Raw genomic sequence first — 27,043 nt, 5'->3', positions numbered from 1 at the left:
TTATCTGTGTGTCTTGTCCTATGTGGAGGAACCCAGAGAATAGTCTTTCATAATTTTCAGAAGAACTTTATTTTAGTTTCCATAAATAACAGACCTATTGGCTTAGTAAATAGTTCATTTAATATGCATGGTGATATCTCCTTTTATACACTAAATCCTGCCCATCTCAGTCCAGTGTACCCCATGAGGAATAAATGAGTTAATCTATTGATTATCACCACTAGACTATTTTTTTGTCAATGATCCTGCCACAGATAGAGTACAAGATGATTGTACTTTTTACTAAGTTACTACTACAATCTGTAGCATGCACATCCCAACTTACTTCTTTAGAAAGAAGTGTAACATTCACACTGACCCCCCGAATAACTATATAATCAGGAAATCTGTCTTGAGGGGCCAGCTGTGACTTGAACCCATTTGTTGGGTTCTATCAGCCAATGTAGCAATTATGATCAGGACTGCTTAGGAGGATAATTGGACCAGGCCAAACAGGTGTGAGTAATTGCCTGCCACTCCAGAGCATGGGTTCTGAAGGTATGAGTGCTAACACAGAACTCTTCAATGATTTGCAGGGCTGCCAAATGACTGTCATCATGGCTAACCAAGGCCTGATAAATCTCCCTTAATCCCCAGATTTCTATGTAATAATATTTCCATGGAAAAGAAGATTCAGTTTCAGGGATCAGTGCCTGGGAGAGTTCTCTTTGTCTTTTCTAGTTTTATAAAATGATTATGGCAAGAGATAATTGGTGGTAATGTTGAGGCCATGAGAACACTGTAAGGAGTTGCATGTAACGAATGTTTTAATAAAATAATACAAAACTGATCACGTCTACATTCTACATTGTTCTTTCTGGATCCTCTGATCTTGGGAGATAGATTTATTCAGCCATTTATTGTTGTTACTTATTAGTATTCTCACAGGTATTGGAATCACATCCTGCCCATGTGGGCGTAACACTCTGGATTGAGTACTTTTCTTTGCTATCAACATTGGGTTGAAGTTGATATTGGTTTTTCCTTTAGTGGAGCCAAAAACACTTTTCTTCACTGTTCTTGCATCTGTTACTAACTAAGGCGGCTTCCACAGATTTAACTGTAACTTAGCTCCTGGTAATTGCAATAGCATCAGCAAAATTAACATAAGTATGCTCACTGAATATTTTACACTATGTAAACTGTTGTTGTATATATTTTTATATTCGATCTTTGAAGCCATCCCAAGGGGTGATTGTTATGAAACTTATTTTACAGATAAGAAAATTAAGGCTCATCTGAAGACTTAAGGTCACATGACTTGGAAGATTTTGACCTAAATTCAGAACTAGTTCCTCTTAATTTAAGATCCTGTTCCTTTCCCGTGGCACTGAATGCCATTCACAGAGATGGCTGCTGTGTCATGTGCCCTCCAAATTTTACTCTGCACTGTCTTTGAAGATATATAATAATAAAGATAGTAAAATGCAAGAGTAATAGTAATAATAATAGCATAATTTGGTGTTAACAGTGTTGCTCTAACCTTAATAAGTGATTTAAATTCTCTCTAAGATTCACTCTACACATCTGTGAAAACAGTAAGCATCTCTTAATATTGTGAGGATTAATGACATCATCCGTATAATAATAAGATGATGATGATGATAACTACTGCTTTGGAATCCTATGTGTTTACTAAATCCTAGCTATTTTATATGTATTAGCTATAAGCCTTGCAATAATGTTGTAAAATATGCATTTTAATTCCCAGCTTATAAATGGGGAAATAAAGACTGGAAAATGTATGTGATTTGCTCAACATCAAACAGTCATCAAGAGCCTGTGTTAACATCTGGCGTGGATCCAAAACCCATGTTCTTTACCGTGGTAAGTTGTTGCAAAGCATTCTTTGAAAAAGATGGAAGCCTTCTTCACTCAAAATTGATTAATTTCTTCAAACACTTGACCTCCCATGAATACCAAGTCCATGTTATACTCATGGTATATTTTAGTGTACTTAAGGTACACACAGTAAAAGAAATTTAAATTTCACAATTTAGCACAGATAGTTGGTTGCTGTGAATGAAAATGTTTCTTTTTGTGCGAATGAGTTTATATGTGTTATCCTAGGTTCCTTAAAAAAAGGTAGGTCAGATTCCAAAGAAACTGTGTTCTAGAAAATAATAGTTTAATGAAAATCTAGGTTGTGGCCCACAGAATTGTGACTCTATACTTATCAGACCAGAGAATGATGATTCAGGCTTATAACTAAAGATCCTTGAGTGTTTTTGAGGGATTTACACCTGGGTTCTTATATCGTGTCTCCTCTGTAAATCTAGCAGGAAGACAAGGAAATTGTTCTGTACCATTTCACCACTGAGGAAACTGAGTCTAGAGGAGTTACATTTTCTGCTGAAGATCACATAACTAGGGGAACTTGTTTCTACCTCCAGACAATTTTCTGCTGTGACCCTAAGGTAGTAGGCATAAAGGGCTGGGGGCTATTCCTCAAGCTAATTTGTGGATAAAGATTTATTTTTCTTCTAGGCCTTAGGATTATAATGGGAAAGCTTTCTCCTCCTGTATTCATCTTTAATGTAATTAGTATAAACTGTGAGTCAGAAGGCTGGGTTTCAGTCCTGCTCTGTCACATACCAACTGATAAACTAGGTCACTTAACCTATCTGGGGCTGTGTTTCCTCTTGTGAAAAATGAAGATAATAGTGCTTATCATTCTTGTCCTATGGGGCTGTGGAGAGCATCTAACCAGAGACTGTAGGTGGTAAGAAAGTGGTCTCAGCATTCAAGTCCTGGACAAGCTCTAGCCACCCAGCATAACCTCTTCTTTCTTAATCATACCATAATTTTCTTTTGAAGAATTGCTTATCTTCTGTTATGTGTGATCTTGGAGGGGCTGTGAATCAGGGTCTTTCTGCCTTCCTACTACAGTCGTCAAAAATGTTCTGGAGGCCATTGCAAGCTTCTCCCTCCACACCCCTCCTCACCCTCTGGCATAGTCACAGGGCAAACACTGGATCTAAGCCAATCAGATGGGCTCTTTCTTCTGGAACTGAATCCTCAGCAGAATGACAAAGAAAGACTAAACAATGATGACTCAAATGAATTGATCCTTTGATTCCACATCAGCTCCTTCATGAGACTGGGAAGCAGTTCCTTTACCTTCTTTGTTGTCCCATTGTGGAGCTGGCTCCTCCAGCTCTCCCAGCAATTCTATGGGAATCATTCTCCAGTGATTTCTCTTTTTGGATGGCCTAAGTTGGATTATGTTGATTGCAATCACAGAATTGTATTACATATGTCAGTTTTTAACGTATTTCCTTAACCTTAAAATGCCACAAATTTAATATGCATCATTAAGTTTTTCAGGGAAAAAGGAAGAAGCAGTCACACTATATTCAATATATACACCGATAGGCAAGAGGCATACTGGTTTGAGAAATGTGAAACATGAGAAGTAGAATGTAAAAAAAAAAATGTGTGTGTTAGAATTGAGGAATTATGGTACCCATATTATCATTATTAATAAATTATATTAGAATAGTAGTTATGACAACTGAGTATTTTATGTACCTAGAACCCACAAGGAGTCAGGGAAGTAGGCCAAAGGACAAAGGAGTTGATTCTAAAATTCTCTTGATTGCTTCTCTGAGAACTTCTCAATTTATTCCCCTTTTGGTATAAGAAATATCTGGTTTTGACTGCCAGCTAATTTCCAGAAGTTGAAGGCAGTTATGGTTTATTGTGAGTGGGAGGTTTGTAAGAAAATAGCAGTGCAGCAGTAAGGAGAAGCTCTCTGAAGTTGTTCTGAATGTACAGCTAATGGGCAGTTATCTATGAGAGAGATTTTTATAGCTTCCTCCATATAGCTGGTGAAAAGTTAGCCTGGATGTTGGGGGAGGAGCCTGTCAATTTGGCTTCTTATCAAACTCAACTTTGTTAAGCAGTTAATTCTAAGGTGTTTTATCCACTTATTACTAAGGCATGTAAGTCTGAGCTGGCAGCCTTGATTAATAGATTAATGATCACTGCTCCCTACAATGTAATTGTCATTGTGTCCCTAGAAGAACTACAAATATACCTCCGGGGTTAGGATTAGGTGAGGGTGACTGTCAAGCAGCCATAGAAGGTGTGAGGATTTGGGACTGTTTAAATGAAGACAAAGACATGCCCTCAAGAAGCAATTTTCCAAGCTGCTGTTTTGACTTGACAGTGGCAGATACTTCATTGGAAGATGTTGTGAAAATGAAATGCAGCAGGATCAAGAGGAGAGGGTCTATTAGTCACTCAAAACTGACTTGTGCAGATCTTGCAATTCCATTTGTATTTCTGTCTCCCTATCTGTAAAGCAAGAGAAATTATTCATAATTTGACTGTCATTCATATCATGCTAAGTGATTTAGGGCTGCATCTTCACATGACCCAGCTTATAACAGATGGGCTGTAGATTTAATGAGGTGGTGTATCCCTGCTCTATCATTTCCCAGCTCCATAAGCAAGGGCAGTTATGCAACTCTTTATGTCTCATTTCCTCATGTGGAAAATGAAAATAGTAATAACCCATCTCATCATCATTTTGTTATAAAAATTACCTAACTAGTGTCTGACAGGCTTAGCAGGTTACAGAGTAAGTATTCGGTAAATGTTAGCTACGATTACTTAGTAGATGGGCCTGAAGATATTTGTCGATGGGTGCAATGTAGATGTTTTATGATTCCTGTTAGCATGAGTTTGAAAAACTACAGCCCTGAGTCAAATCTAGCCTGTCACATGTTTTTGTAGAGAAAGTCTTATTGGACCACAGCCATGCTCTCTTGTTTATATATTGTCTATGGCTTCTTTTTTGCTACAGAAGGAGAGTCAAGTAGTTAAGACAGAGATCCTAAAATATTTACTATCTGGCCCTTTAGACGAAAAGTCAGCCAATCTCTGGGGATCATCAAGAAAACAGACAACTGTCCCACCCTTCGTGTGATTTACGTTTAGTAATAGATTGGATGTGTTATAGTTTACTTAACTTTTCCCCTTCGGGTGATTAATAGACATTTAGCAGGTTTTCATTATTTTCATTCACAAATAATTCCACAATAAATGACATAATATATATGTGAATATATCTGTAGGATAGATTCCTACATGTGAAACACTTAGGGGAATTATTTGGGACACCTCAGCTGATGTCTTGCAGATTTACTGATGGGACATTGTGAAATTTCTCAATACCAAAGATGTCAGAACTAAGTACAGAATTAAGCTGTCAGTTCTAATTCCCTATAACAGAGTTTATCAGTAATTAGCTTCTTTGATCGAGCCAGAGGTTGCAGTCCCTAAAGAGAAAAACACAGCACTGAATCTCAAGAAATTGACTACTTGTCAGATGAAGTTAACTATCAAGATTCCTACCCATCACAAGTAATCTTACAGCTGGTCATTGCTTCCATCTATCAGTTCGGTGTCGCTGCCTTTTTGCTTTGGAATAGATTGTGTGGATAGAGTCATCAAGCTTAATGGAAGTTTCCATCTGGATCATGGCATCTGTTAACCTTAAAAAGGCTTATGAACTCTGAGTAAGGGAGCAGTTACATTATTCTTTCATATAAGGTGATATTATTCCTAAGGCCACTCCTTTGTGAAACATGCCTCAATCAGAAGATCTGATGGTAGAAACAAACATTTTATCCATAGGTAAAGGACCCTTCTGTTTTTTACTTTTGACACGCCTCAAATTGTTGCACCTGCAAAGACATGGCTCAGGATTTACTACTAGTATACAAAATTATGATATATTGGTTAGTAGATTGTGGAGATTAGCTGACTATATCTAGATAGTATTTTAAGATAACAAAATGTTATATTGAATCAGGGCACCTAAAATGCAAAAGTCTAAGGGGCGAAGGAGATAATGTTAATGGTGAACTTGAAAGCTTGTTTTTCATTTGAAGAGAGGGGCTGCTACTTAGTCCCAGCCAATTGCTGCCACACCTTACTTTTCTAAAAGAAGGTGGACATACACTTCTGTAGGTAAAACTGTCCCAAGATTTAGAAGTCTGCAACTAAAAATAAATTAACTTAAAAATAAAATAAGGACTTCATGTCTAAAACACCAGAAGCAATGACAACAAAAGCCAAAATTGACAAATGGGATCTAATTAAACTAAAGAGCTTCTGCACAGCAAAAGAAACTACCATCAGAGTGAGCAGGCAACCTACAGAATGGGAGAAAATTTTTGCAATCTACTCATCTGACAAAGGGCTAATATCCAGAATCTACAAAGAACTCAAACAAATTTACAAGAAACAAACAAACAACCCCATCAAGTGGGCAAAGGATATGAACAGCCACTTCTCAAAAGAAGATATTTATGCAGCCAACAGACACATGAAAAAATGCTCATCATCACTGGCCATCAGAGAAATGCAAATCAAAACCACAGTGAGATGCCATCTCACACCAGTTAGAATGGCGATCATTAAAAAGTCAGGAAACAGCAGGTGCTGTAGAGGATGTGGAGAAATAGGAAACACTTTTACACTATAGGTGGGACTGTAAATTAGATCAACCATTGTGGAAAACAGTGTGGCGATTCCTCAAGGATCTAGAACTAGAAATACCATTTGACCCAGCCATCCAATTACTGGGTATATACCCAAAGGATTATAAATCATGCTGCTATAAAGACACATGCACACGTATGTTTATTGAGGCACTATTCACAATAGCAAAGACTTGGAACCAAGCCAAATGTCCAACAATGACAGACTGGATTAAGAAAATGTGGCACATATATACCATGGAATACTATGCAGCCATAAAAAGTGATGAGTTCATGTCCTTTGTAGGGACATGGATGAAGCTGGAAACCACCATTCTCAGCAAACTATCGCCAGGACAAAAAACCAAACACCACATGTTCTCACTCATAGGTGGGAATTGAACAATGAGAACACTTGGACACAGGAAGGGGAACATCACACACTGGGGCCTGTTGTGGGGTTGGGAGAGCGGGGAGGGATAGCATTAGGAGATATACCTAATGTAAATGACGAGTTAATGACTGCAGCACACCAACATGGCACATGTATACATATATAACAAACCTGCACATTGTGCACATGTGCCCTAGAACTTAAAGTATAATAAAAAAATATATATATAAAAAACAAAACAAAATGAAACAAAGTAAATAAATTAACTTTAAAATAAACTTGAAAATAAATAACTTAAAAATAAAAAAGCATATATGGCATGACAGTTGAAATATATCTGCTAGTTTGATACCACCTGTAAGCCAAAAAAAAAAAAATCTGTAAAGTCAGGCGGTAGAATGATTGAGAATAGAAATGGCTCAGGATGAGATGCTCACAATTAAGGCCATGAATTGCTAGGAATTCCCCTTAAGAAACAGTGCTTTGTCATCAGACTTATCTACCAGCAGGGTAACTTCTGTTTCCTTCTTGAGGACTAAATGATAAAATGTATGTAAAGTACTTTGCACGGTCTCTGATACGTGGTAGATACTAAATATATATTAGCTAATGTAACATAAAATGTAAAATGGACCTACATTTTATTTTAAAAATATGAAATATACTTTAGGTCTAGAATCCTTTCATTCTTTTTTTTAGGATTAGCATATATGTAGACTTGGAATGGTTTGTCATATCCCTATTTCCTGGAGAGCCACTATGAAATCCTTCAGTGTTGTCGTTTTATGACTGGACTTGTGAAGGGCCCAGAAAACTCTGTGTGGTGTATCAGGTGCCAGAGCACTGGGAATTCCATGATGCAGATGGAGGCTTCCAGTGCTGGTGGGCTAGAGTTGTGTTCTGTCCCTAAGGACAAATACTCTTGGTTATAACAGTGATTCTCCAGATTTTTATAAGTTATGGATTGTCATGATAACCACTGGGATAGTGGACTGAACCAGAAGGACTGTGAAGTATGTTTTAATGTGGAAAGGGTCTTCCTGGGTTTTACAAACTTCTGGGAAGATACTCCTGGGAGATGCTCGTGGGCATTATAATATCATCAAAGGGTCATTGGAGACCTTTCAAATTTACTAGTGACCCTGGTTGAGACTAATGAGAATGTTGATCTAGTGCTGGTAACATATATTTCTTTAGATTTGGTACTAGATTAATTTTTCATTTTTATGGACAGGTGAATTCAGGGTGGGTGGTAGGTGTGAGGTTGTAATGGTAGAGGCATAAATGCTTGTTCTAGGTTGAGTGTGGCTTGCTAAATGGGAGTGGGTTGGGGTTAAGAAGGCCTGGGCGGCCCTGAAATAAGTATTGGACTTCATTATTTTAGTGGCCTGCTTAGACAGAAAACTATCATTTCCTGGAAAAAGCCCTATATCTGTTTGTTACCAAAATGTTTGTCCCAGCTTGTCAAGGGACAATGTGTTCTTGGATTTTCTACTCAGTGGTTTAATTACCAGCCAATATCAAAATAAAATGGAAATTTTACATTCTTACTTAGTGGATAAACTATTTATCTATTGCCTTGTCCAAGCATTTTACATAGTTATAGATAGATATATGATATGTAGGTAAATAGATAGACATACAAAAACATACATTATATATCATGTAATATATATTCTAATTTGACTTTAATTACCAGCACATAATTTAAATTCATGTTAGTTTGATCACTATTTCCAAGTAGTAAACTAAATGCATAATTGTTCATTTAAATTGTCACAAAGCCACCTGTTTTTCAAGACCTTTTATTACTCATAATGAAAAATGGTATTAATTATTATCATTTGTATCAAGATATTAATCTTGCCAAATTGGTATGCTTATGTTTGTATTCATACTTTTGGTTTCTATAGTAAAGTGAATTTCCTATGGAGAGTATCTTTTTAGATGTTCTTATCTGTTTTTCTCATTCATTTTATTAATCATTGCCAACTGTTAAACTGTTCAGCTTCCAAGGACTTTTTTTTTCTTCCATGTCTTTAATGACTAACTTATTTGGAACAGCAGCAGAAAGAAAAATCTCTGAGGCAGAATCTGCTCACACACATTCTGACACGTCTCAGCTCAGGGAAAATTTCCAAAGGATAATTATAGATGTCACTAAAGCTGAATTCATGATGGTCAGATTGTCAGAAATCTTATTTATAAATGCTATCATAATAATGGAGGGGAATATATCTTACTTTGGAAAAGGAAAAGTTTGAAACCTTCAAGGCTGCCTGGGTTTGCCTGCATCTCTGGCTCTGGGATCTAGTTTTGTGTTAGAATCACCTGTGGAGCTTTTGAATGCTAAAATTTAATTCAGCCACTAACAAAAGTTTTCTCGGACAATATTTACTATTATACTAACTAGCACAGCACTCACTCACTGTTTGGCACTGTTCTATCCACTTTAGATCTATCATTAACTCATAGAGTTCTTCCAACAAGTCTATGAGGTAGTCACGATTAGGACGGTTATTTTACCAATGAAGAAATGGAGACATGGAAAAGTTAAGTAGCTTGCCCCGGGGTCACATCAGTAGTAAGGGTAGAGTCGGAGTTAACCCAGGCAGCTTAATTCCTGAGTTAATGCTTTCAATTACTGTATCTTCCTACTGCTCATCTTCACCATGACTATGACCAGAGAGAAAGATCTGGGTTTATTAGGATAATATCACACAATGGAATTCATTGCCTGGTTCTCAACTCTTACGCATTTAATTTGAATACCTTATTTGTATCATTATTGACTTTTGGATATAGTGACTGATTACTCTCTAATGAGCACACACATAAAAATTTGTCTCTAGTCTGGACTAACTAAATCAGAATCTTTGATGGGTGGGGCCTGAGTATCTGTGGTTTAAGCAGCTTCTTTGCTGATTCTGATGTGCATGCTGCTAGCCATCTAATATCAGAAGGTGGAAAACTACACTATTAATTTCAATATAAAGTAGACTGAGACCAGGACTCTAGGAGGCCATGAAAAGTACTATGGGGGAACAGGTGGAAGGCATTAATTCTGAGAAGCACATACAGTGACATATTTATATATACTATTATTACAATAGCTTTCCCAATTCTAACCCGTTCTGATCAATAGGACAACATACATTACAAGAGGATTTTGGGCAGAATTTTACATTTTTGAGGGACTTTACTTTAGGCTCTTTGGTCCAGAGGGCAAAGTCAGGTACCCCAGTCCCCCCTGTTGGCCTATGTCAAATATTAAAAATATTAAATCCATGGATTTCATATATCAGATAGGAAACCATACCTTCTGTACCTCTTCTAATACACATGCTGATTCATAGAGAGGCTTTAATTACCTCAAAGAAGATGCCAACCAATTGCCAATTTGATACATCAATTGGCAGTGTTTAATAAAATAAATGAGAAAAACAGATAAGTAACATCTAAAAATATATTCCATACATCTTTCACATGTCCAAATACATCCATATATCTCTGTCTTAAAGAGATGACATATTAAAAGGTCTGTAGAAGGTGAATACACAGTATTAAGAACCATTTGCTAACTATCCCCTATGAGAAATGAGTTTCATTCAAATTCCCTCCTACAGGATAAACCTGCAGATATTTGAAGACAGACTTCTTGCCTTTTTCTTAGGCATATATTTCTGTTTCCTGGTGTTGAGAAATATTTAAACATTAAGCTTGTCAAGGCCTAATCTTGTGGTATCAGAGTCCTAATATCAATAATTAACTTTCTATTGTCATAACAAAATTGGCACTAAGAGAGGTATATAGTTGTTCCACCTTTCCCTTATTCTAATATTATTTCCTCAGTGAGCCAGGGCCTTAAATAACTATACATTTGCATAAGGGATGCTCGATTGCTGCATTAGCTCTTAGGCTTTTCTCAACTCTATCTGGAAGCATCATGCTTGGGGTAATTAAAGAACCTCTTTAATTCAGCATGTGTTTTAGAAGACGTACAGAAGGGGCATGGTTTCCTATCTGATATATGAGACCTGTGGATTTAATATCTTTAATATGTGACACAGGCCTTTGGAGGTCATTGGGGTACTTGACTTTGCCCTCTTTGGACCACAGAGCCTAAAGTAAAGCCCCTCAAAAAGGTAGAATTCTACCCATAATCCTCTTGTAATGTATGTTGTCCTGTTGATCAGAACAAGTTAGAATTTGGGAAGCTGTTGTAATATTAATGTGTATAAAAGCTTTGGTAACTTTTATCTCTGAATCAGGCTTAGAGTATTACGTCATCACTGGACTTCCATACATATTAAGTTACTGCCATGTGGCAGTAGTGTTCTCTTAACTGGACTCTGTTTTCTTTTGGTTTATCTTTGGTCTCTGTGGGATCTTTACTGCTAAGATGTAGAGCCTTAATGCTGGCAATACCTTCAGGCCCCTGTAGGCTTCTGGCTGCATTCTGTTTGCTATTGTCTCTATGACAGTTTCATGCCCAGAATGGGTCACCAGTAGACAGTGATTTTCATTTGTCCAGGACCCATATCAGAGTCCTTCCCGTTATGAAGTTGCATAGGGGAACACAATGGTCATAATATGATTAGGTATAGTTAATGTGACTACTTGCTCAATGCAAATTAATTACAAAGTTAAACTGAAAACTATGCAAAAGATATAGAATTCTATAAAATTAATTAAAAATGAAAGTGGAGAACTTCTCCCATCACATGGTAAACTATTGTAAAAGGATTAGACAGGACCATATCAATTAAAACTAAAGACACTAAAAAAAAAAAAAAAAACTTCAAATAGGATGCTTTGAGTTAAAAAATGATTAGGAGACATCCTTTTGAAACTTAAAAAAGATTAAAAATGTTTTGCAAAGATTTATAATTGTGAAGAAAGGTTAGACCAAAATGAAGGATTTTCTATAGCAGGTCATAAAATTATGTCGGTAAAATTAAATAAAAAACAAACAAAAAATTATTCTTTGTTTATTTTGAAAAATATACAAAGCTGAAATCATAAAATAAATTTAGTTCCACATAATTAAACAATCATTTTATGTTCAGTTTCATTTTTCAACATAAAATTTCAAATCAAACTTTTTATTTATTTATTTTTTACTATTTACTATAAAATTTTGTCTAATTTATATCACTCAAGGGTTTGGCAGGAAGCAGAAGGTACAGTCAAAGCAGTCACTGGAGAGAGTTTACTATTTTCAAAGACCTGGACAAGTTTTAAGGAACTACTAAGGGATAATCTAGTAACCTGGGGCTAGTAGAAGTGGAAAGTCATCACCTCACCTAGGATTAAGGAGCCAACTAGAAACAGCAGTCACTTGAACTCAGAAAGAGTAACCGTATGGAGAGTGTCGCCTTCGGTAGACAGTGGGCACAGCCAACTCACAGTGATTACACAGGGAGGAAACCAGAGCACTAATGCTCTTCTTTCTTCTCTTTCAGCCCTGATCTCCTGCCAGTGGCCCCAATGGCCAAAGCCAACCTGAAGCCAGAACATAAATAGATCAGTTTTCTTGGTCACAGAGCAGGGTAGGGAAAGATGGAGAGTAGAACTGGAAGAGAAAATGACAAATTCCAGCATGCCATTTGAAATAGATTAAATGACTTAGATGTTTCTGAATTCATGCAATTTTTGGACAGCTTAAAAGAATAGGACTTGTACTGCTTGATTTAAGACACATTTCAATGTAAAGTTAAATCAGCTTTTGTAGTCACAATATGTACTCTTACTGAACAATGATTGACATGGTAATATCCTTCAGAATTCCCCATGCATACTGCTCCTACATCATGTCCTCCAATTTTGTATTTGGGAAGTTTTCTTTTTGGAGCTATGTATAAGACTTGACATTTATTTAAATTAAGGTTTGTGATAATCAATTTGGATTATGTTTCAGTCTCCTGAGATTTTTCTGGAGTTTGACATTTTATTGTATCAGTGCTCTCTGTAGCTTTTTGTCATGCTTACGTACTATCAGCTGCAATGATCATCCAATCCTTGATAACGATGCTACATTGGGCATGGCCGTAGGTAGATCCCTGAAGCATACTACTATAGACTACACTCCAGAATGGCAATAATTCATAATGTATTATTCAGGTTAGACTAGGTTGTGCTGCAATAACAAATGAACCTTCCAAATCTCAGTGACTTTCCATACCAAAGTTTATTTTTTACTCATGCTGCATACATAGTCCATGTATTTCTGCTCACAGTTCAGTGGTTGAACCTCGTCATATATCCTCAATCTAACCATAAAGGAGTTAAAAATGTGGGAGGATACATAAATATTTGATGAGAATTAAATTTTAATATCATTTGCATCCATTCCTTTGACCAATTTTGAATCCACCTGATACTAATCTTATCTATATTTCTCCATCTTTTAATGACTTGTTATTTATTGAAGGCCTTTTATAGAATAACAATAATTAAACATACACTCCAAGACCATCCAGTGGGATAGGAATTATCATTTTCCTTAAATAGATGAGAAAACTAAAGATTAGAAGTTAAGGCCGGGCACGATGGCTCACGCCTATAACCCCAGCACTCTGGGAGGACTAGGTGGGCAGATCACAAGGTCAGGAGATTGAGACCATCCTGGCTAACATGGTGAAACCCCATCTCTACTAAATATACAAAAAATTATCCAGGTGTGGTGGCGGGTGCCTGTAGTCCCAGCTACTTGGAAGGCTGAGGCAGGAGAATGGCGTGAACCCGGGAGGCAGAGCTTGCAGTGAGCAGAGATCATGCCACTGCACCCCCCAGCCTGGGCGACAGAGCGAGACTCCATCTCAAAAAAAAAGAAGAAGAAGTTAAATATCTTGTCTGAGGGTATACAGTCGATGAGCAATAAAGATTTGAACCAATCAATTCTAAACATACATATTGCTGCTTATTATCTATATATCTAATCTCTTAGCTAAAAATGGAATAAAAGAAAGGGTAAACCTAAGGCCAGATTGAAAATAGGACAAATTGATTTTTCATCCTTCACAGCAATTCTTTCCTTGTGCTCTGATTTGTACTACTTTGTCTCGTATTTATACACACAAAGCTCTCATTATCTCCATCCGTTATCAATTGCTCCCACACAAAAATCTGAGAAGTCACTCATATTAAAGTAAAAATGACTCAATCTCTTGTTTTCCATTTTAAGGGTTACTTACTTATTAAAGTTAGATCATCCTGCCACTAAGAATACATTTCTAGTTTCATATAAAACATCTTTGAAATAGTTTATTTAAGTAAACACATATTATTGTTATCCCTAAAATTATATCATGGAGCTGCCAACAGTGTGATCTTAGGAGGCAGTATAGCACAATAGAAAACATGGACTTTGGGCTCAGGATATGAATTAAATCCTTGTTATACTTCTATGTGACTGTGTGAAATGTATTTAAATTCCTGTGACCTTAGTTTTCTCATCTGTAAAATGACTTAATGCCTACCTTATATTTTTTGTGAAGATTAAAGAAGTATAGCACAGGGTAGGTGCCCCAAGTATTTGTGAAGTGAATGAATAAATGGTGTCCAGAATACACTAAGCAAGTCTTGATACAGAGAAGTTAGTAAATGATTGTAAAGTTGGATCTAGGGCCAGGGTAGAGTATGTTAGGAAAAGAAAGTCAGCAAGTGAAGCCAAGTATGGAAATTAATAAGTGTGTTTCAACCCAAATGAATTATTGTTTTGTGTCATAGGTTTATATGATAATAGAATAGAGGATAATTTATTTTGGAATCTACCCACTAAAAATACATGTTCTATATCTTACTACTATAGCAACTAAAAACAATCTGCTGTAATAAGATGGTGTGCATGGTGGCAGTGTGATTAGCCAGCGTATGAAGAACTCTTTATTGAAATAACTGGCCCAACCTGAAACGTATGGCCAGGTGGCATGAAAAATAAAAGATAATTGCAGTTGGGTTGTAGCAGTCTCACTAGTTAATGACATGAATTGTGATAACTCTTGGTCATTTTTTATGTTGCTGAACTAACAGGCTGGGCACAGTGGCTCATGCCTGTAATCCCAGCACTTTGGGAGGCCGAGGCAGGAGGATCACGAGGTCAGGAGTTCAAGACCAGTCTGGCCAATATGGTGAAACCCAGTCTCTACTAAAAATACAAAAATTAGCTGGGAGTGGTGGCATGCCCCCTGTAGTCCTAGCTACTTGGGAGGCTGAGGCAGGAGAATTGCTTGAACCCGGGAGTTGGAGGTTGTGGTGAGCCAAGATCGCATCACTGCACTCCAGCCTGGGCGACAGAGAAAGACTCTGTCAAAAAAAAAAAAAAAATTAAATTGTAATTATTCAAATGTTTTCTATAAATTCTATTTAGGAAACTATAGATAATAAAGAAAAAGTAAGAAGATATAGTTGAGGCATTTTTGGGGGGACATGATTATGCCTTTTCTTTTTGTTTCAATCATTGTACATTTCAGAATGAAGATTATTTTAAATCTGGAAATATATTTAGTAGGGGAAATTTTATAATATGAAAAAATAAATATGTTAAAATAATATGTGTCTGTGACTTAAATTGTTAATTAAGTAGCCTTAAATTGTTCATTGGGAATCATACTTCATGTACATATAAATGGTAGATTATGTGGAAGAATAGATTCTATGGGGAAAGAAAATATAACACATTTATTTTTTTTGACTTTTCTAGGTATACTATATGCAAGTTTTTTCTGGGTCAGCTTAAGAAATCTAACCAATTGAAAATAAAAAAGGCAATTGCTCAGGTGAAAAGGGAAATTCTAGTATCTCAAGAGGGTTCAGTTATGATGTAGCATCTAGAGAGAAATGGATAAAGAATGTATAATTTGAAAATTATATGTACTTCAAATTGTTGAGTGTGTAGTGACTCCAGGACACAAGATTCCAGGATACAGCTCCCAGGGGACATCAGAATTTTCTGGGGGATATTTTAGATATTCATTCAAAGCAGCCTGGCAGTCCTTGTTCCTATTTTTCTTGTGATTGCCTGTGCTTGACTCAAGATGAAGATCAGTCGGAATCACATAATAGCACACTGCTTTTTATTCCTAGAACCCTAGGTGGCTGATGGCATTTCCCCTTTTATTCCCCAAGGAGTTTCATAGCAGAAATAAAACTCCAATGATAATTTATATTCATGCTCTGTTGGATCCTCCCTCTTCTTTTGATGCTCTGATCAATTTTTCAACCCGTTTCTAAGCTGACCCCATTACTTATTGACTTATTTCAAAAATGAATAAAAACAAATCAGATTTTTTTCTTTAATTGATTTTTTCAGATAATAAAAGAAACAAATGCCCATTGTAGAACATTTGTAAAATATGTACCAAAATGCATGAAATCAATAAATCAAATCATTGATAACCCTATTACAATTGGAGTATAATTTCTTCCAGTATTTTCTCTACCTGTCAGGGTTTCTACTCAACCTCAGCACAAGTGACATTTTAGATAGAATAATTCTTTGTTTCTGGAGGATGTCCTATGAATTCTAGAACATATACAGCATCCATGGTTTCTACTCACTAGATACTGGCAGAATAGAGCCTCCCTTCCTCAGCACCCAATCATCACAAAAAAGTCTCCAGACATTGCCAAATATTCCCTTGTGAGCAAAATTGCACCCAGTCGAAAACCACTACTAAGTATTATAACGAAATTGGAATTTTACTGTCTGTACAATTTTACATTATTTTTAAGCTATTTATATGCTTCTTAAACTAACAATACATAGTGGAAATTTTCCCGTTTTATTAAACAGCATTGAAATGATGGTTTTTACTAGCTGAATTCCAATGTAAAGATCAAATATAATTAACTATTTTCTCATTGTTGACCAGTTACATTGTTCATACATTTTTAAATAAATAAAAGTTTAAGGAGTATCCTTATACATAAATGTTTGACCCTATCACTGATTAGAAAATTTTTTGTATCTTACTAAAGTCAGAAAATTATTTTCAAAGTAGCAAAGTATCTTTGAACTAATGCATAATTGTTCAGAACTTTGGTGGTGTTAGTAGAGTGATAGATGTCTTTCACCCAAAACAAGTTGGTGGCTAAAATCTCTAAATCTACTCTGAACCTCTTTTGAATAATAAGGGTTGAGAATCTAATGAAAACTAAGGACTAAATAAAAATACACACTATTATACACACACACAATTCCATATACAATTTTGGAAGGTGGAGGTTTGTGGATCTGTTAAGAACAGCCATAGGCCTTAAGGAGTCCTGCTATAAAGACCCCTGGTTTCTACTGCAGCTTTTACAAATATGTAACCCCAATAGAGAGCTAAGCAAACCAAGGTTAAGGGGCATGTCCATGACAGAACCAGAAGACTTTTGTCCACTGAGCCTTTATGAATTTATAAATGTCCAAAATGAATCATATTACAGAAAAGCTTTGGAGGTAGAAAAGTGAGACACTCTTCTGGTCCTTTAGACCTGTGGCAGTATTTGTCTAGTGGGGTCTCAGTTTCCTGAATTGACCTAGCCCATCAGGTCACCAGCATTATCTCATGAAGATAAAAACAATACCAAGCACTAGGCTTCAGAAAGCTCTTATCTGTCCTCACCGCGAGGCTGAATATAATTTACTCCCCAGTGTAGACTGATACATAATCATGTCTTTGAAAAATGTTCCCTGGAATGAATTATAATGCAATGACTATGGCCACAATCATTGCTTTCCAACATAGAGGGTGGGGGAGAGAAAGGGAAGTTGAATAGCATTTACCAAGATGAAGCACCTACTCCCTTGCCAAAGATGGTTCAAGGATCTTTGCTTCCATACTTTTATTTAGTCCTCACAGCGACTCTGTGAGATGATTGATATGATCATTTTATGGATAATAATTCAGATGGGTTAAGCCACTGTCTTAGTGTCACATGGAGAGTAAGTGACATGTAAACTTGAAGTAAGCTCATGCTCTTTTTATTACACTGTGTTACTCAAAAGGAAAAGAATCAAGACTTTCCCCACCTTCCCTCAGCACCCCACTACCCCCATTTCCAAAAAAGCTTTGCCCTGGCACACTCTATCCCCTTAAAAATAAAGTATATCACATTTTGGAGGGCCTTCTGAGGCACTCTTAGGTGATTATATTATCTACTTTATTAGACATTAATCTTGCATTTAGAAGACCTGACTTTGTTTTCTTGCCCTTTATCATTTGCTTTTGATTGATGATGGGCAAGTCACTAATTCTCTTTGAATGTCAGCTTTCTCACCACAGCTGCTGCACTACTTGATGCATAGTATTAAGAGCTCATAACTCGAAGTAAAAGAAAACTGTAAAAGATTGTTACTTTAAAAAAACATTTAAATTCCCTTAGCTTTAATTTCCACATTTATAAATTTGAAATTATGATTCCTATTTCACAGGGTTGTTAATTTGTTCATTCAACAAATACTGTGCGTCTATTAGCATTATCACTTATTTATTGTTAGGGGAGAGGTGGTGGTGGTAGACATATGATAAACAAGTAGAAAAAGCAAATTTGATAGTTGCCCATTGTGATAAGTACTGTGAAAACAATAAACAAGCATTTTGGGTAGCAGGTTGAGGGTACAAGTGTCGGAGATTAAGGGTGCAAGGGCAGTCAGGGGAAGCCTCTCTAAGGACATGATGGAGACTTGAAAGCTAAAGGATGAGAAGGCACCAAAAATGGCTGGGTAAGTGCTATCCAGAGGCTCTAAAGTGTGAAAACCAGGGTTACTAAAAGATAACGATAAAGAGCAAGAAGACTATAGGCGTCGCTACACAAAATAGTCTGCAGACCAGTGGTCATCTTCACATTCTTTGTTACTGGTCTGCGACAAGATTAGAAGCCTGAACAGAAATGTAAATCAATGCAATGCCCCTGTCATTAACAAAGTCTTGTTAGAAAAACAAAAGTCAGCTGAATTAAGCAGTATGCCTAGTTACATAGTTGGTGTAAAGTCTGATGTCCATAACTCCTTATAGCTCAGTAACATTTTGCAGACCAGTCACCTTTAGTAGCATTCGTAAGCCAAAGTTAGAGAAGTCAGGGGTCAGGCCCTGCAGAACCTTGAGACCAAGGTAAGATATCTGAGTTTTATCTTAAGTGCAGTTGGAGAGGTGGCTGGCAAGATGGCCAAATAGGAGCGGCTCCAGTCTGCAGCTCCCAGTGAGATCAACACAGAAGGCGAGTAATTTCTGCATTTCCAACTGAGGTACCTGGCTTATCTCACTGGGACTGGTTAGACAGTGGGTGCAGCCCATGGAGGGCGAGCCAAAACAGGGAGGGGTGTCGCCTCACCCAGGAAGTGCAAGGGGTCAGGGAGCTCCCTCCCCTAGCCAAAATCACAAGCATTCCTATACAACAATAACAGACAAACAGAAAACCAAATCATGAGTGAACTCCCATTCACAATTGCTACAAACAGAATAAAATACCTAGGAATACAACTTACAAGGGATGTGGAGGACCTCTTCAAAGAGAACTACAAACCACTGCTCAAGGAAATAGAAGAGGACACAAACAAATGGAGAAACATTTCATGCTCATGGATAGGAAGAATCAATATCATGAAAATGGCCATACTGCCCAAAGTAATTTATAGATTCAATGCTATCCCCACCAAGCTACCATTGACTTTCTTCACAGAGTTAGAAATAACTATTTTAAATTTCATATGGAACCAAAAAAGAGCCCATATAGCCAAGACAATCCTAAGCAAAAAGAACAAAGCTGGAGACATCATGCTATACTATACTACAAGGCTACAGTAACCAAAACAGCATGGTACCGGTACCAAAACAGATATATAGAGCAATGGAACAGAACAGAGGCCTCAGAAATAATGCCACATATCTACAACCATCTGATCTTTGACAAACCTGACAAAAACATGCAGTGGGGAAAGGATTCCCTATTTAATAAATGGTGTTGGAAAACTGAAACTGGACCCCTTCCTTACACCTTATACAAAAATTAACTCAAGATGGATTAGACTTAAACATAAGACCTAAAACCATAAAACCCAAGAAGAAAACCTAGGCAGCACCATTCAGGACATAGGCATGGGCAAAGATTTCATGACTAAAACACCAAGACCGATGGCAACAAAAGCCAAAATTGACAAATGGAATCTAATTAAACTAAAGAGCTTCTGCACAGCAAAAGAAACTATCATTAGAGTGAACAGGCAACCTACAGAATGGGAGAAAATTTTTGCAATCTATCCATCTGACAAAGGGCTAATATCCAGAATCTACAAGGAACTTAAACAAATTTACAAGAAAAAAGCAAACAATCCCATCAAAAAGTGGGCAAAGGATATGAACAGACACTTCTCAAAAGAAGACATTTATGTGACCAACAAACATGAAAAAAAGCTCATAATCACTGGCCATTAGAGGAATGCAAATCCTAGGTATTTTATTCTCTTTGAAGCAATTGTGAATGGGAGTTCACTCATGATTTGGCTCTCTGTTTGTCTGTTATTGGTGTATAAGAATGCTTGTGATTTTTATACCTTGATTTTGTATCCTGAGACTTTGCTGAAATTGCTTATCAGCTTAAGGAGATTTTGGGCTGAGACAATGGGGTTTTCTAGATATACAATCATGTCATCTGCAAACAGGTACAATTTGACTTCCTCTTTTCCTAATTGAATACCCTTTATTTCCTTCTTCTGCCTAATTGCCCTGGCCAGAACTTCCAACACTATGTTGAATAGGAGTGGTGAGAGAGGGCATCCTTGTCTTGTGCCAGTTTTCAAAGGGAATGCTTCCAGTTTTTTCCCATTCAGTATGATATTGGCTGTGGGTTTGTCATAGATAGCTCTTATTATTTTGAGATACATCCCATCAATACCTAATTTATTGAGAATTTTTAGCTTGAAGGGCTGTTGAATTTTGTCAAAAGCCTTTTCTGCATCAAATCCAAACCATAATGAGATGCCATCTCACACCAGTTAGAATGGGGATCATTAAAAAGTCAGGAAACAGAAGATGCTGGAGAGGATGTGGAGAAATAGGAACACTTTTACACAGTTGGTCAGAGTGTACATTAGTTCAACCATTGTGGAAAACAATGTGGTGATTCCTCAAGGATCTAGAATGAGAAATACCATTTGACCCAGGAATCCTATTACTGGGTATATACCCAAAGGATTATAAATCATTCTACTGTAAAGACATATGCACACGTATGTTTATTGCAGCACTATTCACAATAGTAAAGACTTGGAACCAACCCAAATGCCCATCAATGATAGACTGGAATAAAGAAAATGTGGCATATATACACCATGGAATACTATGCAGCCATAAAAAGGATGAGTTCATGTCCTTTGCAGGGGCATGGATGAAGCTGGAAACCATCATTCTCAGCAAACTAACACAGGAACAGAAAACCAAACACCGCGTGTTCTCATTCATAAGTGGGAGTGGAACAATGTGAACATATGGGCACAGGGAGGGGAACATCACACACTGGGGCCTGTCAGGGTTGGGGGTCTAGGGGTGAGATAACATTGGAGAAATATTTAATGTAGATAGATGATGGTTTGATGGGTGCAGCAAACCACCATGGTACTGTATACCTATGTAACAAACCTGCACGTTCTGCACATGTATCCCAGAACTTAAAGTAGAATAAAAATATAAATAAACGAAATAAAAAAGAGCAATGGGAAACCGTTGGTGGTTCTAAGCAGGAGAGTAGAGTGAACTGCTTTTGAGATAAACAGATGCTCTAATGCACTTGAAAACATTTTATAAAGTCTGATGAATGTGAGTTTTGAATCAATAGTCTCATTTAATCAGGGCTTGCCTAGCCATTTTGCCAACACCTTCCTCCTGGACTTCTAATTAACATATGCCATGAATCTCTTGAGGCCATATTGCATCATAATTTTTTATGTGGCAAAATATAAGTCATATGATATTGAGGTTCTCTCTTTCTAATACAAATAAAATTTCATGCTTGGGAAGTAAATAAGTCATATGCCTATAGCTCAGGGGTTTCAGATATCAAAATAAATCCCCCTCCATTTTTGGGCAGCATTAGGATTCCATGTTCACACCTACAGAGCTTATTACTAACATATTATCCATTTGTACATCCTTTGCTAGAAATAGCATCTGCTTTGAATCTAGGAACTTCATAGCTGTACTTCATTCCTGGAGGAAGTTTTAGAGTTTTCAGCAAGAGGAACTGGTGAGTTCACTCTCTTGTCACCCAGGAAATGGCCCCTTATATCTTTTGGAAAACAATGGCATTGATGTGTTTGCCCCAGAAATGATAATTTCCCTTTCTCTCTTCCCTCCCTTCATTCTTTTTTTGCTTTTTTTCTGACTCCCCCTTTCCTTCTCACCTCTCTTTCTTCCTTGCTTCCCTTCACAACGACTTACTAATTATCTATACCATGGGCTAAGAACTATGCTAGAATCTGGAAATAGCACCGTTAAAAAGATACACACAGACCCTAACCAAAAGACGTTTAGTCTTGAAGGGTTACAGAAAAGTGACTGGGAAATTATAATCCAGTGTGATCTGTGCTACAGTGGGGGAAATAAAGAGTGCATATTAGAGAATAAAAACTGGGAAGCTAATATGAAATTGGAGTCAGGACAGCTTCAGGGAGGAAAGGATGTCTAAGTTGAGGTCCAAAAAATAAGAAGTTATACTGAAGATTTGGAGATGAGCAGAGTGTTCTTGCTAGAGATATCATGTGTGGAAGCTTGGAGAAGAGACAGTGCAATGTAAGTTGCAATAAATAAAAGATGTTGAGTCTTGGGGGACAGGAGAAGGAAGAGGTAGAAGTAAGTGGAAACAGATCATAAAAAACCTTATAAAACTATGCTAATGAGCATGGACTATAAAGTGACGACAAGTCATTGAGGGATTTCAACAGGCAGATGATGTGTCATGTGGGCCTTTTAGAGAAATGATGCTGGTTTCGGGAAGAAAAATGGATTAAAGGGGCAAGGTTGGAGTCAGGAGACCACATAGAAGGATATGTCTGGGAATTGTACTGTAGAGTGAACAAGTTACAACAGTATGCATGCATATAGCAAGATATTATATTTCATTGGACACTCAGAAAACTGCTGACTGATTTTCTTGGGGTCATGGGACAATTTGGAAAAGCAAGAACAAGGGCCAGGTCTTCCAATCTGGGGATGGCTTTTTCAGTGAGAGCTGTTTTGAGAGCAACCATCACTCATTATTCTCCCGGCCCCTTACCTACCCCACATAATTCAGGCTTTTTTTAGTCTTAAAGTGAGGAGTTTCTCTTTGATGACAATTTTACTTTTGGGAGCTGTCCAATATTCTATTGCTGCATTAAAATATAAACTGACTTTAAAAAATAATGAAGGGGATATTATGCAGGCAGCTGTCAAGGGAATGATTTGAACTTACTCCTGAAATTCTATTGTATCAAACCCTGCAGATTTTAATCTGTCCCCCTAAGGTTTTTTCTCAACATATACCCATAATAGAAAGAAGGGGGATTAATCAAAGAACAAGTGTGTTCAGCACTATTGTGAGCTTGACACAGAATGAAGCACCCTGGAGGATCATGAGGAGAGGTAGGGCGCGATCTCTGCCCTGAAGTTGTCTAGTTTAAAAAGCAAAAGCAAACACACAGGAATACATGAAGCCATTTAAAACAATATCTAGGCATGTGTTCTGGTTATATGCTTAAAACGCTAGTGTTCTAGTTGTTCAGAAAACAAAGATGACCGGTAAGGATGAAGCAGTCAGACAACCTTTCTGGAAGAAATGGTATTTGAGCAAAGTCTTGGGTGAAGAGAGGTGACAGAGTGGTAGGCTAGGGGGTTGGAGTGGTGAGGACACATGTGTGAATGACTGTGGAGTGCTTGTGGCACTTTGGTATGGAGCCTAGAAAAGTGGTGGGGAAGTACCAAGAAACAGTGGGAAAGAAGCTCAGCCAGATGGCATGTGGGCAATAATGAATTACTTTGAAGTCAACACACAGAAATTTTGAGAAGTGGGGATGCAGTGAAGGCTCTACAGTAAAGGTATATTAAGAAATGATTATAAGATGTCCATATGAATGGAGGAAAATGGTCATTCCCAGCTCCCAATATACTTCAACTTGCCAATACATCTTGGCCAAGTCAAGTGACTCAATGCATGTCCATGCTTCCTGTCATCTCTGAGGCATCTTGAGGGTTAAATGAGATAGCTGATGTGAAAGTGCTCTGTGGATCCTATGTAATTACCATAAATGTTGTTGCCACTTTTGCAATTTTTCTATGCCTTTGACAAGTCTCTGTTTCAAAATTCATTCTCAGTAGCTGACTCGGTGCCTTCCCTTGCTACTCTGGCTAGGCAGACTGTCTTGCAGAATTCTCTGTCCAGCATTATTCAATTGTGTCCTTTGGTATGCATTCATTTCTAGCATCTTAGACACATCTGCTTTGACAGAATCCAGTCTGGTTAGACAATCTGAAAAAACAAACAGTAAACCAAATTCAGCATTTATAACAGTGAAGTGGTTTGATCTAAATTAGTATTTAATTTTTGATCTCAGTTTGCGGATTTTGTGGTCATGGCCTGGGTCTTGTTTCCTTTAGAGTTCCCTACAGGACATTGCATAGCCTCAGTGACTAATGGCTTTTCTACACAAGTCACTGACCGGCTGCCCAGGAGGTAGATTGTTGCTTCTCCTTGTGCTGAAAATTGCCGGCTTAGCAGCTTTTCCACCATGGCTTTCTGCTAATATTTTTAGATTGCCAAGATGTTATCAAAAATTGTATTTAGTTGGGTGGCTTCGATGATTGCCTCTCATTGACAACAGGATTGTAACTTCTTGAGTTCAGTTGTGTCTGTTTAAATTATCAATTTCTGGAAATTCTTTACAACGGACTGCTCTGTGTTTTGCAATGAGGGACTGTGCATTTTTCTATGGTTTCCCATGTAATGAAGATCCACAAAGACATGACTTTTGATTGACGACTGTATTTAAGAAGCTATTTAAGGAGTATTAGGTTTCCATGTTCTTTTGCTCAGGCGCAGCTTTTTAAACTGCTCTTTCTCAGCAGCTTCATTCTGACAGGGAACATTCTGTTTGCATTTCGTTTTTATTTTTAGGCATTTGCAAATGAGGCTACCCTGAAACAGCAATCTGCTCTATCCAGAGGGGGGCAGAACAGTGTCAAAAATTTAAGTATTTATTGCACAAATATTCATCCAGCAAGTGGAGCACGGCAGGCCCTGTTCTAGGCATTGCAGATACAGGGATGTGTTAAGAAAACCCAGTCCTTACCCTCAGGAAGTTTATAGGCTTGTGAAGGAGTGATTTTTCAATTATAATGACAATAATCACTGTGAAGGGGAAATGCTAGGAGCTATTGGAGCCTTCAGAGTATGGAGCAGGAATAGACTTAAGCAGTAGAGTAACATGTTGATATAGACAGGAGACAGGGAAATACTGGGTAGAAGAGGGTGGTTCCCTGGCAAAGGTCCCAGCCTCAAGGCTGGAAACCTGTGGTCCTAAATGGGAACAGGCATTCCGATTTTTGCACACAAAAGTTGCATTTTGGCCCACCACGTACCCCTGTTATGTACCCATATAAACCCCAAGCTCCAGGCTCCATGAGCTGATGAACAGAAGAGCAGAAGAGCAGCAGAGAAGGAGAGAAGAGAAGGAGCATCTGAACATTGAGGGGAGTTCAACTGGGGACAGTTGGAGAGATCAGCCACTGGACAGCTAAACTCCAGGAAAAGATCATCCTCCCATTCCATCTCCTATCCAGCTCCCCATCCATCCCAGTGAGAGTCCCTCCACCACTCAATAAAACCCCCTCATTCACCATCCTTTAAGTCCGTTTATGACCTGAGTTTTGCTGGGAAGCCCTTCCCACCTGGCCATCTCATTAGAATGAACATGTGCTAACACGTGGGACTCAGCCTCAGCACTTTAATTAGAATTATTGAGAAAGAGATGTTCTCCTTCCTCTGGGGCTTTCAGAACCAATAGTCATTTTGGAGGGGTTGCTGGCCATTTTGTTACTCAATACGAGGGGATAAACTTAAGAAGGGAGCAACACACCAGGCAGCAGATGGTGTTCTTTGAGCTTCTGGGCAATCTGATCTATATGTCCCTAGCTTTTTCAGTTGCATGATCCAGTATATTTCCTTCTATTTAAGTGAGTTTGAGTTTGTTTTCTGTCACTTGCAACTGAGAGCCCTTTCAAATACAGTACTCTATGATTTGAGATCAGTAGCCAGAGTTAGAATGATGATGAATATTTATTTAGCTCTTACTATGTGTAAGTTACTATGACCCTTGACACACTTTATCTAAATTTAACCTTCCCAACAACCATATGACATAGGTATTATTTTCCCAATTACAGATGAGATAACAGATTTAGAGTGGTGGCCTCAGGTCACACAGTTAGGATTCAAATCTAGGCAGCCTAACTCCAGAGCCCATGCTCCACTACCTCTTAACAATAAGATAGTTAGCTCTTCTTGTTGAACTGATCCCTTTACCATTATGTAATGGCCCTCTTTGTCTCTTTTGATCTTTGTTGGTTTAAAATCTGTTTTATCAGAGACTAGGATTGCAACCCCTGCCTTCAATGGCAACAAAAGACAAAATTGACAAATGGGATCTAATTAAACTAAAGAGCTTCTGCACAGCAAAAGAAACTACCATCAGAGTGAACAGGCAACCTACAACGTGGGAGAAAATTTTCGCAACCTACTCATCTGACAAAGGGCTAATATCCAGAATCTACAATGAACTCAAACAAATTTACAAGAAAAAAACAAACAACCCCATCAACAAGTGGGCGAAGGACATGAACAGACACTTCTCAAAAGAAGACATTTATGCAGCCAAAAAACACATGAAAAAATGCTCATCATCACTGGCCATCAGAGAAATGCAAATCAAAACCACAATGAGATACCATCTCACACCAGTTAGAATGGCAATCATTAAAAAGTCAGGAAACAACAGGTGCTGGAGAGGATGTGGACAAATAGGAACACTTTTACACTGTTGATGGGACTGTAAACTAGTTCAACCATTGTGGAAGTCAGTGTGGTGATTCCTCAGGGATCTAGA

General features: G+C 37.6%; 1 protein-coding gene and 1 long non-coding RNA gene across 4 annotated transcripts in view, besides 1 other annotated feature; one reads left to right on the top strand and one right to left on the bottom strand.

Annotated features, from left to right (window-relative positions):
- Positions 1 to 27,043, top strand: part of PRELID2 (PRELI domain containing 2) — a 606,358-nt gene that overhangs the window by 360,277 nt on the left and 219,038 nt on the right. The window contains exon 7 of one of the 2 annotated variants that reach the window (XR_007058586.1): positions 1,751 to 1,866. The gene's annotated coding sequence lies outside the window, so the exon portion shown is untranslated. Of the gene's footprint in view, positions 1 to 1,750; positions 15,478 to 27,043 lie in introns of those variants that run through there. The other variant, XM_047416830.1, reaches the window with a different exon arrangement.
- The window catches only part of LOC105378211 (uncharacterized), a 50,059-nt gene that overhangs the window by 4,860 nt on the left and 18,156 nt on the right, over positions 1 to 27,043 (bottom strand). The window lies entirely within an intron of this gene.
- Positions 2,835 to 3,383: an enhancer, noted in NCBI's record as "NANOG hESC enhancer chr5:144851246-144851794 (GRCh37/hg19 assembly coordinates)". NCBI's record gives its function as "activates a minimal SCP1, AML or CMV promoter by ChIP-STARR-seq in naive H9 embryonic stem cells {active_cell/tissue: H9 hESC(naive)}" and the evidence as "EXISTENCE:reporter gene assay evidence [ECO:0000049][PMID:30033119]".

This window comes from Homo sapiens, chromosome 5, assembly GCF_000001405.40.
Source record: "Homo sapiens chromosome 5, GRCh38.p14 Primary Assembly".
NCBI classification, from domain to species: Eukaryota; Metazoa; Chordata; class Mammalia; order Primates; family Hominidae; genus Homo; species Homo sapiens.
This window is presented reverse-complemented; position numbering and strand designations above follow the sequence as displayed.